This window comes from Homo sapiens, chromosome 2 (genome assembly GCF_000001405.40).
Source record: "Homo sapiens chromosome 2, GRCh38.p14 Primary Assembly".
NCBI lineage: Eukaryota > Metazoa > Chordata > Mammalia > Primates > Hominidae > Homo > Homo sapiens.
This window is the reverse complement of record NC_000002.12, coordinates 203,057,969-203,074,080: the sequence shown is the minus strand read 5'-3', so window position 1 is coordinate 203,074,080 and position 16,112 is coordinate 203,057,969. Positions and strand designations below refer to the sequence as shown.

Genomic DNA, 16,112 nt, shown 5'->3' with positions numbered 1-16,112 from the left:
CTTAGCCATTTTCAAGTATGCAATGCATTGTTACTAACTACAGTCACAATGTTATGTAGTAGCTCTCTTGAATTTATTCTTCCTAACCGAAATTTTGTATGCTTTGACCAACATTTCCCCAATTTGAAAATATTTTAAACCAAACAAGAAAACTTCATTTTAATTTAACAAAATTAAAACAAACATATCAAAATCTGTGGGGCACAACTAAAGCAATGATTCATGTTCATTCTAGAAAAGAAGGTCGAAATAAAGATCTAATCAAAGACTGACCTTTCACTCTAAGAAGCTAGAAAAAGAAGAGCAATTAAGAGGAAGTTAATATTAAAGATAATAGAAAAAATAATGAAAAAGGAAACGAATAAACAATAGAGGAAAATCAATGAAATCAAAAGCTAGTTCACTGCAAAGATCAATATAATTTTTTAAGAGACAGGGTCTCACTATGTTGCCCAGGCTGGAATGCAGTGGCTATTCATAGGCACAATCATAGTGTACTATAGCCCCGAACCCCTGGGCTAAGGTGATCCTCCTGCCTCAGCCTCCTAAGTAGCTGGGACTACAGGCATGTGCCAGGATCAATATAATTTAAAAACCTCTAGCTAGACCAATCAAGAAAAAAGAAGAGAGAAAAATGTAAATTATCAATGTCAGGAATGAAAGAGGAGACATCAATTTAGATTCCACAGATTTAAGAAGGATACATGAAGAAATACTATGAACAACTTTATGCCAATAAATTCAACACAATTCATGTGATGAAAAACACAAATTCCTTGAAAGACATGAATTATAAAAACTAACACAAGAAGAAATAGAAAATCTGAGTAGCCCTTTACCTAGTAAATAAATTTATTCCATAATTTAAAACCTTTTCACACTGGGCATAACACACATGCCTATAGTCCCAGCTACTCAGGAGGCTGAGGTGGTAAGATCACTTGAACCCAGGAATTCAAGATGAGCCTGAGCAATATAGCAAGATTCTGTCTCAATGAAAAACAAAACAAAACCTTTCCACAAGGTAATCTCCAGGTCCAGATCTGCTGGTGAATGTTAAGAAAATCATAATAGCATTCTCAAACCAACTCTCACAGAAAACAGAGGAAAAGAGAACCCTGCCTAACTCATTTAATATGACCAGTATTGTTGTTTGAGCCACCAAATCAATAGTATTTTGTTATACCAGCCCAAGCAGACTAAGACAGATTTTGTTACAAAGAAATAGAGTGCTACTACAACAAAGACCTAAGAATACAGAAGCAGCTTTAGAACTGGGTAATGGGTAGAGGCTGGAAGAGTTTTGAGGTGCATGCTGGAAATAGGGACCTTCAGGGCAATTCTGGTGAGCTCTCAAACATAAATAAGGAGCATGTTATTGAAAACTAGTGGAAAGGGGATCCTTATTATAAAGTGGCAAAGAACTTGGCTCAACTGTGTTCTAGTGTTTTGTGGAAGGTAGAACATGCAGCAAGCAATGAAATTGGATATTTAGCTAAGGCAATTTCTAAGCAAGTGTTGAAGGAGCAGCTTAATTTCTCCTTCTGACTGCTTATAGTTAAAATGTGAGCAGACAGAAATAAACTAAAGAAGAAACTGTTAAGCACAAAAGAACCAGAAGCTGAAGATTTAGAAAATTCTCAGTCTATCCAAATTTAAAAAAAAAAAAACAAACAAACAAGAAAGCTTGTTCTAAAGAAAATACTGAGGGTGTGACTGATAAACAGACCATGGGTATAACTAGTGGACTTAATCAGCCAGCTCAGTGAGGCCAGGAATGGATACGGGATTATACCAGAAAAGACACTACCATTTTGAACTAAAGGGGACAGAGAAAGTGGGAAGGAATGAAGGTAGACTGTTGGACTTCTTGGATTCTATAGATCAGACCATAAAGCTATTCAGTTTGAATGTGTGATAAGAAAAACTCTGAAAGCAATTCAGAGATTATGAGAGCTGCCATTCCCACCAAAGATCCAGGAGGCAAGGCTGTTTCCTCTTCCTTGGTTTCAAAGGGTAGGACCACAGGTCAAGTTTCAGTGGGCCAGGATGACCTACCTAGTGCCTCAATGGTGGAGCTGCCCTCACAGACAGCATTATGTGTGGGGCCCTTGCAGAGACCTGGGGTGGGGGGTGACACTGGCAACCCAGTGCGCATGAAGTACAGAGTATCAACCAAAGAGGGCTATTCTCAAGCTTTAATGACTAATAGAATTTACCTTACTAGGTTTTAGGCTTACCTGAGACCTGTCACCCCTTTATTCCTTCCACTGTCTCCCTTTTGGAATGGGAATGTGTATCCTATACCTGTTCCAACATTGTATTCTGGTTACATATAACTTATTTGTTTTCACAGGTTTATAGTTGGAAAGGGATTTTGAGTCAGGATGAATTGTAACTTCAGTCTCACCAGTATCAGATTTAGATATTTAGATAAGATTTTGAACTTTAGACTTACAGAGTTGATGTGAAAATGAGTTAAGACATTTGGGGCTGTTGGGATAAAATGGATGTATTCTGTATGTGTTAAGTACATGAATGGGGGGGCAAGGACAGAGTGGTATAGAGTGAACTGTATACCCCCAAAATTAATATGTGGAAGCCCTAACATCTCCCCATATGACTGTATTGCAGACAGGGCCTTTAAAGAAGTGATTAAAGTTAAATGAGGTCATAAAACTAGAGCCTTGATCAAAGAGAACTAGTGCCCTTGTAAGAAGAGGAAGAGACAACAGTCTTTTTCCAACATGTGAGGACACAGCAAGAAGGTGACTATCTGCAAGCCACAAAGACAGATCTCAACAGAAAATAAACCCTGCTGGACTTTCCAGACTCCAGAACTGTGAGAAACAAATTTCTGTTATTTAAGCCACCCAGTCTACAGTATTTTGTTATGACAATCCAAGCAGACTAAGACAAAAACCATACAAGACATATAAGGCAAAAAATCCTAGAAACCCTTACCATCCTTGAACAGAGACACAAAATTTTTAAACAAAAAATCAATCAAATGCAGTATTACATAAAAAGGATAATATACTATAATCCTAGCACTTTGGAAGACTGAGGAAGGAGGGTCACTAGAGGCCAGGAGTTCAAGACCAGCCTGGAGGCAACACAGCAAGACCTTATCTACAAAAACATTTTGTTAAATTAGCCAGCTGATATGGTTTGGATCTATGCCCCCACTGAAATCTCGTGTTCAACTGTAATCCCCAGTGTTGGAGGTGGGGCCTGGTGGGAAATGACTGGATCATAGGGGCGGATCCTTCATGCATAATTTAGCAGCATCCCTTTGGTGCTGTTCTCATGACAGAGTTCTCATGAGATCTGGTCATTTAAAAGTTTATAGCACCTCCCAGCTTTCTCACTCTTGGTCCTGCTCCTGCTTTGCCTTCTGCAGTAAGTAAAAGCTCCTGAGGCTTCCCCAGAAGCAGAGGCTGTCATGCTTCCTGTATTGCCTGTGGAACCACGAGCCAATTAAACCTCTTTTCTTTATCAATTACCCCAGTCTCAGGTATTACTTTATGGCAGTGTGGGAACGAACTAACACACTGCTTATGATGGTGCATTCATGTAGTCCCAGCTACTCAGGAGGCTGAGGCAAGAAAATCACTTGAGCCCAGGAGTTTAAGGCTACAGTAAGCTATGATTATACCATAGCACTCCAGACTGGACAACAGAGCAATACCCTGTTTCTCAAAAAAAAAAAAAAAAAAAAGAGAGAGAGAGAGAGAGAGAAATACAAGTTAATTATATAATCACAACCAAAGGTAGTTTGGGCCAGAAATATGATGTTAGTTTAATATTTGAAAATCAATCTATGTATTTTGCCAATTAACAAGCACCTCAAATAGATGCAGTAAAAGTACATTAAAAAAAAAAGTCAATGTCCATTCAGTAATAAAAACTATTAGCAAACTAGGGTTAAAATAAGACTTCCTCTACTTAATAAAGGGCATCTATTTTTAAAAACACAGCTAATATCATATTTAATAGTGAAAGACTGAATTTTTTCCCTTCTACATGGGGGAACAAGGATATAAAAATCAATATACAAAAACAAATTACATTTCTATATACTAGTTTTAAAAATGAAAAATACAATTTAAAACAAATCAGGCTGGGCATGGTGGCTCTCACCTGTAATCTCAATACCTGGAGAGGCTGAGGTGGGAGGATCACTTGAGGCCAGGAGTCTGAGACCAGCCTAGGCAACATAGTGAGACTTTGTCTCCATAAAAAATTTTTTTATATTAGCCAGGCATGGTGGCACATACCTGTAGTCCTAGGTATTTGGGAGGTTGAGGTGAGAGGACCACCTGAGCTCACAAGTTGCAGGTTATATAGTGAGCTATGATTGCACTACTGCACTCCAGCCTGAGCAACAGAATGAGACCGCATCTCTCTCCAAAAATGAATAAGATACATCATTTACAAGCATACAATATACAATACTTTGGGATAAATTAACAAAATATGCGCACAACCTAAATATACAAGAGACAAAGGCTTTTATGGGATACTTTACTTCTAAGCCAAGTGGCTCCCTGACACACCAATTTGATTTTATAACCTCACTTGGAGGACCAAAGAATAGCCCTTGGATGGCTGTGAGGACTCCTGATGAATAGAAACACCTTATACTGTTCTACTGGCAGGCTGGGTTTCCTGTCCTATATCCTCTAAGTGAGGCCAGTTTCCAGAGATGGTCTACTATGGAGCTTCATTACCTAGCTAAAGCCAGTATCACTACTGGTGGTCAAGCAGAGTCAGCACTGCAGTCATCTTCAGCAAGCAATCAAAGGATTATTTCTGTCTTCTTTCATTTCACAGGGAAAAGAAAGAACTGAAGCAAATATGGCAAAATGTTAAGTTACAAATTTGAATGGGAAATACATACTCAAGGAACACACAGTGTTCCTTTTATAGTCTGCAAATTATACTATATTTTTGAAAGATGGCATATATAAGTCACATATATAGGGGCTAACTCTCTCAAGTTTCCTATTTTCAATAAAAATTCTGAAGTTCTAAAATATACCACCAGTGGCCAGGCATGGTGGCTCATGCCTGTAATCCCAGCACTTTGGGAGGCTGAGGTGGGTGGTTCACCTGAGGTCAGGAGTTCAAGACCAGCCTGGTCAGCATGGTGAAACCCGGTCTCTACTAAAAATACAAAAATGAGCCGGGTGTGGTGGCACATGCCTGTAATTCCAGCTTTTTGGGAGGCTGAGGCAGGACAATTGCTTGAACCCAGGAGGTAGAGGTTGTGGTGAGCCAAGATCGCACCACTGTACTCCAGCCTGGGCAACAAGCGTGTGACTTCGTCTCAAAAAAAAGTAAATAAATAAAATAAACTATACCACCATCATTAAAATATTCAGCTATTCTAAAAAAATTTTTTGAGAACAGCAAATTAAATAAAACCAAGTACAATAATTGCAGCCAAACACAAATCATGTAGCTTACTCCAGTGACATGTTCTTACAACCATTATTTTATAAATTAACAAAGCTGAATCAAGATCAGAATCAGAGTAAGAATAAAAAGTAATCAGAGTAAGATGATAATCATAGCAAGAGAAATTAGAGGTGTTACTTACGATAAAAGAAAGGGACGAATTCCACTGTGAGAGAAGCTGGTTTATATTTCTGTCTGCTCTTTTCCACAGTACTAAGGATTCGTCTATCATTAAAAAGAAGTTAATAATAAGTTACAACATGGGCAAGCAGACACGGCACAATTACAAAAACAATTATAAAACAAATTTAATATTACTTTTGATTTGTGTCTTGAACTATGTATCTCTAGGATCCGCATAATCTTGAAAAGGAAGTCTAGCCAGTAACTGAACTGTTCATCAATTAACAGATTTATTTTTTTGAATTATGCAACATGGTAGCTAGTTTAAATCTCCAAATAACTGGAAAATGAACAAGAAGCCAGACCTTAAAATTTCCAATCTGTAAAAGAATTTGTTCTGCAGTAATGCTAAACTGACAGCTCAGATTAGTAGCATATTATTACAGTAAAGTTGAAATTTATCAGAAATCCAGGCTACTCTGCCACTTTCTGAAACTTTATAATAATGGATAATGAGGCCATACATTAGCTTCTTTCATCTTGAGGATACAAATCCAGTATGGGCTGGGATTATTTTTGCTTTTAATGACAATTCCAGTAATTCTGATGGATGTTATGTTTTCTACAGGCTTTGGTAAAGCCAATACAAATTGCATGTGCTTTTAACAAGAACATTTCAATTTGATACAAAATGAATCTCTTAGATGGGCATAGTGGTGTGGAGATTGGAGAATAAAGAGTAGTGTTATGATGATACTTCCAACTAGTAGATGGTGAATTTTTTAAAATCACAGATATTTTTTCATTCCCTAAAAAAAGCATTTAAAATTACTAGATAAAGCCAACAAAAATAGAAAATATTTAAAGGACAGCCACATAGAAATTCTGTACGTCTAAATATGATGTACTGATAAAGCGCTGGTCTAAGATGCTTTCTTCTTAATGACCATAATTGAGCTATTGAAATTACTTTCCTTATAATTATTTCAAACCTAAGAAGAAATGTCAATTGATCATAGAACAAACCACATAGGATAAGCATAGCTGGACTCAGTGACAGCAAAATAGAGAGTTCTAAGATCCAGATCTACTATCCAAATTCATTAGAAATCATATTAGACCTCATTTGCTACTGCACTGCTTTCTAAATCTATGCCTATTTCCAGTGTGTGGAAGGCAGAACAGTGATTATACCAGCTGTATTTATTTTAATTTCAAACAAAACATGTTAGAACATTAATAGATCTTCCTATTTAATTAAGACCATTATCAAAGATTTTCATGTCTTTGTAACAGTACAAAATTCACTGGAGTTTCAAATAAAAAATTCAATCATGTGGTAGAAAAATTAATTTTAAAAGGATAAAATTTTGGCCGCCCCGCCTGGGAAGTGAGGAGCGCCTCTGCCCGGCTGCCCTGTCTGGGAAGTGGGTGCCTCTGCCCGGCCGCCCCTTCTGGGAGGTGAGGGGCGTCTCTGCCCGGCCGCCCCGTCTGGGAGGTGAGGAGTGCCTCTGCCCGGCCGCCCCGCCTGGTAAGTGAGGAGCGCCTCTGCCCGGCTGCCCTTTGTCTGGGAGGTGGGGAGCGCCTCTGCCCAGCCGTCCCATCTGGGAGGTGAGGAGCGCCTCTGCCCGGCCGCCCATCATCTGGGATGTGAGGAGCGCCTCTGCCCGGCAACCACCCCTTCTGGGAAGTGAGGTGCACCTCTGCCCGGCCGCCCCGTCTGGGAAGTGAGGAGCGCCTCTGCCCAGCTGCCACCCCGTCTGGTAGGTGAAGTGTGCCTCTGCCCGGCCGCCCCATCTGGGAAGTGAGGAGCGCCTCTGCCCGGCTGCCCCATCTGGGAAGTGAGGAGTGCCTCTGCCAGGCCGCCCCGTCCCGTCTGGGAAGTGTACCCAACAGCTCCAAAGAGACAGCGACCATTGAGAACGGGCCATGATGACGATGGCGGTTTTGTCGAAAAGAAAAGGGGGAAATGTGGGGAAAAGAAAGAGAGATCAGATTGTTACTGTGTCTGTGTAGAAAGAAGTTGACATAGGAGATACCATTTTGTTCTGTACTAAGAAAAATTCTTGTGCCTTGGGATGCTGTTAATCTATAACCTTACCCCCAACCCCGTGCTCTCTGAAACGTGTGCTGTGTCAACTCAGGTTTAAATGGAAAAAAAAAAAAAAAAAGGATAAAATTTAATTTAGCTTTCAGTTAGGTTTTTCCACGAGATTATTTCCAGTTTGTGCATTCATTAAAAATTATGGTATTAATAGATTGCTTATATCCTATCCAAACAACCTATGCTACAAACAATAAACATCCTCACCTGATTAACATAATAAAAATGTACTTCTACAATTTGTGATCAATGACTCATTCTAAAGTTCCTGTATTAGATGTAACATATGAACATAATTTCCAATATATTTGTGGTAAGAATTTAATATGCTAACATAAACAAAAGGGGTGAGAACTATTACATATATTAGAACACAAAAATTAAAGCACAAGTAGTTTGTACTGCATGTTTTCAATAACTTAGTAGAGCTAAAAATGAACTTTAGTCTTATACCATTTGTAGAATATAGCATAGTTAATTGCTCCATTATTACTTGATATTTGGGCCAAGCATCTAGCATTTAGCAGATGCTAATACATATCAACCAGTTTCTGAGAGGGCTGTAAAACGCTTATTTGCATCTCAGTTTTCTAAGTTTATGTTTTTGGTTGATTTAACCAGGCTTCTTTTTTTTTTTCTGAGACAGAGTCTCACTCTGTCGCCCAGGCTGGAGTGCAGTGGCGCAATCTCGGCTCACTGCAAGCTCCGCCTCCTGGGTTCACACCATCCTCCTGCCTCAGCCTCCTGAGTAGCTGGGACTACAGGCGCCCGCCACCACACCTGGCTAATTTTTTGTATTTTTAGTAGAGACGGGGTTTCACTGTGTTAGCCAGGATGGTCTCAATCTCCTGACCTTGTGATCCACCCGCCTCGGCCTCCCAAAGTGCTGGGATTATAGGCGTGAGCCACCGCGCCCCAGCCACCATGCTTCTTTTTTGTACTCACATCATACCTAGGACATAATCATTGTACTCACATCATACCTAGGACATAATCATTATTCTTAATTTTATTTGGAAAAAGTTCAAGTTCTGGCAAAAGATGCAACAATAAGAATAGATCAAAGAACATCAAAATAGAGTTTACCCAAGTTCACTGTTAACACTTTATCCCAAATTTTTTTTTTCTTTTAGAGACAGTGTCTTGCTCTATTGTCCAGAGTGGAGTGAAATGGTGCTATCCCAGTTCACTGCAACCTCTAACTCCTGGGATCAAGAGATCTTCCCACCTCAGCCTCCTGCAAAGCTAGGATCATAGGTGCAAGCCACCATACCCAGTTAATTTTTTTTGTTTTTTGTGAAGATGGGGTCCTGCTATGTTGCCCAGGTTGGCCTCGAACTCCTGGGTTTAAGTGATCCTCCTACCTCAGCCTCCCAAAGTGTTAGGATTACAGGCATGAGCCACTGTGCAGGGCCCCATTATATATAGGAAATTACATATATCATGGTCCTTCCTCTCTTAATATTTTAGTGAATATTTACTAATAGGGATATAGTTTTATATAATACCACAGTATAGTTATAAACTTCAATAAATTTAACACTGGTACAATACTTCTATGTAATCTACCAACCATATTCCAGTTTTGTCAGTTCACCCACTAACATCCTTTGTAGCATTTCCCTCTTCCAATACAGCTTCCAGGCCAGGGTCAGGTATTGCATTCAGTGTCTCTTTCGCCTCTTTTAATCTGAAACATTTCCATAACCCCACTTTGTGATATTTTTAAAGAAAGTTGTCCTCCAGCCCTCCTTTTTTTAAAAAAATTAGAATGTTCTTCACTTGGGATTTGCTTGTTTTCTCACAATTAGATTCAGATTATGCATGCTTGGCTGGAATAACACATAAGCAATGAAGTGTCCTTCTTAGGGTTATCACATGTGGAGCACATGATACCCACTACTTCTTACTGATGATCAGTTAATTTTGATCATCCAACCAACTGGATTATTTGGCCCAGTACTGTCCAAAATAATTACTGATTTTTCAATTACAAGTAATAAGTAATCGTGGGGAGACATTTTAAAACCATACACATGGCCGGGCGCAGTGGCTCACACCTGTAATCCTAGCACTTTGGGAGGCTGAGGCAGGTGGATCAACTGAGGTCAGGAGTTCAAGACCAGTCTGGCCAACATGGTGAAACCCTGTCTTGACTAAAAATAAAAAATTTGCTGGGCATGGTGGTGCACGCCTGTAAACCCAGCTACTTGGGAGGCTGAGGCAGGAGAATTGTTTGAACCCGGGAGGCGGAGGTTGCAGTGAGCCAAGATCACGGTACTGTACTCCAGCCTGGGCAACAGGGCAAGACTCTGTCTCAAAACAAACAAACAAACAAAAAAACCATACACACATCATGCTCCCAACTAAAACTTCCCCCTAGGTTTAACACCCATGAATGATTCTTGCCTGATCCAATCTTACAATGATGTGTGCAAAATGTGTTTTTTTTCCCCAACTCCAGCATCTCCTCTATATTTACTAATTGGCACTTGGAATTTTACTGTAAGCAACACCCTTCACTTCTCCCTTATCTATCTATCACTGGTATGAACTCATAAATTTTCTTCCTGAATGGTTAAATAATTCATTACTATAATTATTTTGTGCATATATTGTTCCAGGTTTGACAAGTAGGAGGCACAGGGCATACCTTAACATAATTAAATTATTTTTCTCTGTGGCAAGGCAAGGAATCCTACTAAACTTGCACTAGTCACAAAGTAGAAACTCAATAAGTATATTTTTGAATCAATGTTTAAATGAATGAACAAGTCATATTGAAGGAAGATTTCTTTTTTTCTTTTCTCCTCTTCTTTTCTTCCTTTCTTCTTCTCTCACTTCTCTTCTCCTTCCTTCCCTCGCTCCCTCTTTCCTTTCCTTTTTCCACTCCTTTCTCCTCTCCTCTCCTTTCCTCTCTCCCTCCCTCCCTCCCTCCCTCCTCTTTCTTTCAGGTTTTGCCATCACCCAGGCTGGAATGCAATAGTGTGATCATAGCTCACTGCAGGCTTCAACTCCTGGGCTCAGTGATCCTCTCACCTCAGCCTCCCAAGTACTCAGAACTAGAGGCACACATCACCACACCTGGCCAATTTTTTTTTTTTCTAGATGGGGTCTTACACTCCTGGCCTCAACCAATTCTCCTGCCTTGGCCTCCCAAAGTGCTGGGATTACAGGTGTGAGCCACCATGCCTGGCTGATTTATTTCCCTACACTTATTTTAGTTCCACTTGAGAAAATCTTTCTAACTTTCTGAGATTCTGTAAGTAGAATCAAAATTGATAACAGATTAATCAAATCTACAAAAAGCATCTATTTGTTGTCATCAAATAAGAAAAGAAATAGTTTTACATGGCTCTGTATTTGGAATTATGTTAATTTTAATTAAATCTATTCTAACCTGCTTTCGCTATTTTGGTAAGCATTAAACACAATGAATAAGAAAATATATATCTTCTAAATTTCCACTTAATTTCAGAATCAGATTAATAAATAAGGTGTAAATTATTGCTGTAGATCCCTTTGTATAGGTCTTCCATGAGCAATGGATTTCTCCTAATTCCATTTTTTAATCTCCCTGTCAAAGTCAAAGAAATCCAAGTCTGAATTCCCTGCTTTACCATTTGTCTTTGAAGCAGTTCTTACATTACTGGCAAGATTGTTGTGTATATTAGAGATAACACATACACAGCTTCTAATGTAATTCCTGGCAAATATATGCATACATTCATTAAATGCTGCTACTCATCCTCTACTTTGCCCCCCTTTCTGTTGCCATCTTACATATGCAGAATTATCTTCCTATATTATATTAATAGTATATAAAATTTTCTTCTTTTTGGGTCTCTGGGCTGCGCTCCTAGCTTGGGCTCCCTCTCCTCAGCTCTGAGAGGCCTTAGGTGGTTCTGGGGCAGCCTCTGTTGCCTGTGACCTGCAGGCCCTGCAAGATCCCTGGGCAGGATGCTGGAGCATGCTGGAAGCTGGAACATGGACTCAGTGACTTTTGAGGATGTGGCTGTAACCTTCACCCCTCAGGAGTGGGCGTTGCTGGATTTTTCCCAGAAGAAACTCTTATAGAGATGTGACGCAGGAAACCTTCAGGAATTTGGCTTCTACAGAAAACAAATGGGAAGACCAGAATGTTGACGATCAAGTCAGAAAATATGGGAGAAATGTAAGTCATATGGTAGAGAGACTGTGTGAAGGTAAACAAAATAGTCAAGGTGGAGAAACCTTCAGCCAGAATTCAAATCTTAATCTGAACAAGAAAGTTTCTACTAAAGTAAAACCATGTGTATGCAGAATGTGTGGAAAAGTCTTCATATGTCATGCATCTCTTCACAGGTATATTATATCTCACTCTGGACACAAACTATTTGAGTGTGAGGACTGTGAAATGAAGCCATATAAATGTAAACAATGTGGGAAAGCCTTTAATTCTCTCACAGGTGTTTGAAGACACATGGTAATGCACAGTGATAATGGATTTTATAAATGTACAGTATGTGGGGAAAACTTTATTTTCCCCAGTTTATTTCAAATGCACCAGAAAACTCACACTGGAGAAAACAACCCTATAAATGTAAACATTGTGGTAAAGACTTCAATTATTCCAGAAACTGTCACAAACATGAAATAACTCATAGTGGAGAGAAACCCTATGCATGCAATAAAAGTGATAAATTATTAGCTTCTTCCTACGCCCTTCGAGAACATGAAATGATTCATACTGGAGAGAAACCCTATAGATGTAGAGAATGTGGTAAAGCCTTTACAGCTTCCAGTTTCCTTCATAAGCATACAAGGGCTCACAGTGGAGAAAAGCCTTAGGAATGTAAAAAATGCGGTAAATCATTCACATTTTCCAGTTCCCTTTGACGACATGAAAGAACTCAAACTGAAGAGAAACCCTTTGGATGGAAGTAAAGTGGTAAAGCCTTCACTTTTCCCAGATCCCTTCAACAGCATGAAAGAAGTCATACTGGAAAAAAACCATGTGAATGTAAGAAATGTGGTAAAGACTTCAGATGTTCTAGTTCTATTAGAACAAATGAAAAAACACATAGTGGGATTGTGAGGAATATTGGAAAACATGCAATTTTCCCAGTTCCCTTTGAAAACTAAGAAAAACTCATACTGGGGGAAAAATGAATGTAAAAAAACTGGTAAAGTCCTCAGTTTCCCCAGTTTCTTTCAAGGACATAAAAGGGTTCACAATAGAGAAAAACCCTGTAATTCTAAGAAATGTGGCAAAGCCTTCAGTTTTTCCATTTTTCCTTGAAATATGTAAGAAGTCAGTGGAGATAAGCCTTATAAATTTAAATGTGTAGTAATTTCTTTAGTTCATAAGTTTCATTTGATACTTAAAAGAACTCATTTTTGAAAAATTCCTATAAATGTACAGAGTGTGAGAATACCTTCATTTGTCTAACACATGTTCAAAGACACATGGTAACAAACTGTAGATGGACCTTATAAATGTGAGAGCACTCTGGATTGGAAGCACAGTGGTCTGGAAAATACAGAAATGTTTTCAAATTTAACAATTACTTCAAAAGTTTTGTAAAACTCTCACTAGTAAGAAATTCTATAAATGTTGGTAAATTGGAAAGCCTGATGTAAATTAATGCTCACAAATGCACGTAAGTGGAATGTTATTATAATTATATTTTGCTTATCAGCGGTTCATTGTTAAAGAGGGTCTCTGTGCTTTTGATTTCCACTTTCGCAAGAAAACATCGATGTGAAAATTCCGTAGATACTCTTAGCAATGCTACATGAGTTTAATAGGTAGTGGTTTTTTAAAAAATTAAATTAGTAAAATTCTTCTCTCTTAAGTGTGTTGGATCTCTGGGTGAATTAAAATGTATTCCTATACGGAGGTAATTTTAATTTTTATGTAATTTTTAAAGTTCTCTGATTAATGGGCCAGTGAAAAATGTGTTTTTGTTAATATTTGGAATTTTCTGACTGGCCTCATGTGGCAAGTTTTGGTTATCCGTATATGTTTTCTACTTTATATGGGAAAATGACTCTTTTTTGGTGTAATAATCTTTATTATATTTTCCTTTTTAATAGTTATTATCAAAAAAATTTTCTTTTTGACTTTCAAAAACTGTTTTTAGCTACCAATTTTATTTAATTTGTTATCAGAGCTGCCTTTTTATAAATCTTCTCTCCCCATCTTTAAATTCATTTTGCTCTTATTATTAAAGATTCCTTTAAAAGCCTCTCTTCTGCCATTTTCAGACTGATTTTATGTTCCTCTTTCTGTATCTGTCTTGCTGTCTATAAAGAAAAATTATGTCATTGTTTCAAAACTTAAAATGTTCTCTTAGATTTGCCATTGCTGACAAGTCTAAGGCGGAGGATAGAGAAGTAGCAAGAGTAGGAGGAAGAGGAGGAGATATACTTTCCTTAGAGAAATCTCTGGCATACATGTCAAAACAGGGGGAACACTGATTAGTTAGAACCAAAGTGCTAATGAGTATAAAGGCTACAGATGAAGCACTGTTAAGTGTCTCTTTGTACTTTTTTTAAAAAAAGACAGGTCTCTATAGCTAACTGAAGCCTTGAACTATTGGGCTCAATCAGTCCTCCCACCTCGGCATCCCCAGTAGCTGGGACAACAGGCATGAGCCATCACATCCGGCTCCCTCTTTGTATCTTTAAAGACTCATAAGCAGGGCATAAGCAGAGATAAAAGGTAGTCACGGCACTAACTGACAACTATTTCTACCCGTTCTAGTCACATGGTAGATTTTAACTTGGCCCCACTGTAGTAGATGGGGACATGTAATCACAGTTCTGGACAATGAGTTCAGAATGAAAATGACATGTGTCATGTAGCATGACCAGACAAGACAAGAACATTAAATTGCCAATTTGACACCTTTCAAAACTTTTTCTCTCACACATGGTGACCAGCAAAGGCTAAAATGCTGGCTGCTCTGTTAGCCTGGGATCTTTAGTAGCTCTGATGAGTAGAGGCTCTCTGCCTATTCACAAAAGACAGACAACATGAAAAAGTAATAAATCTTTTGTTATTCTAAGCCCCTTGTTTGTTACTGAAGCATAATTTATTCCTCCTGTCTAACTGAAATTTTGTATCTTTAACCAACATTTTTCCAATCTCCATCTCCCAGGATGTATTCTGATTTCAATAAAATATTACATCACTATATAGAACATACAAAAGGTGTTACCACATAGTATATATAAATGTTCTCTCAGTTATCAATTCTTCACCATCATCTAATGGTATGGTGGCTATACTACCATGGGAACCCTGAAAAGCCTACAAAAATAATTTAGTAATGAAATGCTGCAATCGTGTTGCAGGAAGTAGAAATTATTTACAAATGGGTCATGTTAAGTTGAAAATGAAAATGGAAAATCTTGAGGAGATTTAGGAGATTTAAAAAAGAGGTCTGATTGAGAGTGATGAAACACTTCTTTGTAATCTGTGCCCACAGGTAAGAATGATATGTGACTTTAAAATTCTTCTCTTTGAGTTCTGTACTGGTAATTCAGCTATTGTCACTAAGCTACCAACCCACCCTTCTATATTCTCTCTGCTTTGTGATGCTGCGGCAGGCATCATGCAAACTTTCTTTTTCCAGCTGCCTCCCTTTTGGGCTCCCTAATAGAGGGTACCAGATGAAGCGTGGAAGAAAGAGAGCAACAACTGGTTCCACATTGCTCTTTTTCTCTATACTCATCAGCATCACTCCAGCAAGAATTCTTAATTGTAGTAATGGCAGTTGGTTCCTGTCTTCAGCTTATTTTTGGCAATCCCAGAATGAGCCTCTTGACTGCTCAAGAGATATCAGCACCAGCTGTGCAATGCTCCTTCCTCAGAGGTCTGAACCTCAGTGCTGTAGGGCCTCTTCTCCAAAAGTCTAGATTCTGATAACTCCATTCTCTTCCCTTTGTTCCCATAACCCCAGGGAGAGTAGCTGTTTCCTAAAGTCAGTGTCCCATCTTTGCTTTGTCAATTCTCTAATATTTATCAATTTCCTTGTATTAGATCCTCTCTTTTAAAATACCAAGTGTGAGGAGGCTGGGTGCAGTGGTTCATGTCTATAATCCCAGTATTTGGGAGGCTAAGGCGGGAGGATTACTTGAGCCTAGGAATTCAAGACCAGTCTGGGCAACATAGTGAGATCTCGTGTCTAAAAATAAAAATATTTAGTCTCGTTTATGTTTTCCTTATGGGATCCTGATGACAGAAGCTCTACAGTTAAAAATAAATGGACAAAGGCCGGGCACGGTGGCTCCCAGAACTTTGGGAGGCCGAGGCAGGCAGATCATGAGATCAGGAGATCGAGACCATCCTGGTCAACATGGTGAAATCCCGTCTCTACTAAAAATATAAAAATTAGCCGGGCGCAGTGGTGCACTCCTGTAATCCCAGCTACTC

The 16,112-nt window shown here is 38.8% G+C and overlaps 1 protein-coding gene and 1 pseudogene across 9 annotated transcripts in view; one reads left to right on the top strand and one right to left on the bottom strand.

The window, feature by feature from the left end:
- The window catches only part of NBEAL1 (neurobeachin like 1), a 210,587-nt gene that overhangs the window by 151,114 nt on the left and 43,361 nt on the right, over nucleotides 1-16,112 (bottom strand). For all 9 annotated transcript variants that reach the window (XM_011511658.4, XM_047445554.1, NM_001378026.1 and 6 more), the window contains one exon: nucleotides 5,606-5,688. In XM_011511658.4, coding sequence (XP_011509960.1) covers nucleotides 5,606-5,688 — 83 coding nt within the window. The remainder of the gene's footprint in view (nucleotides 1-5,605; nucleotides 5,689-16,112) is intronic.
- On the top strand, nucleotides 11,678-12,760 carry LOC100419679 (zinc finger protein 670 pseudogene; annotated as a pseudogene).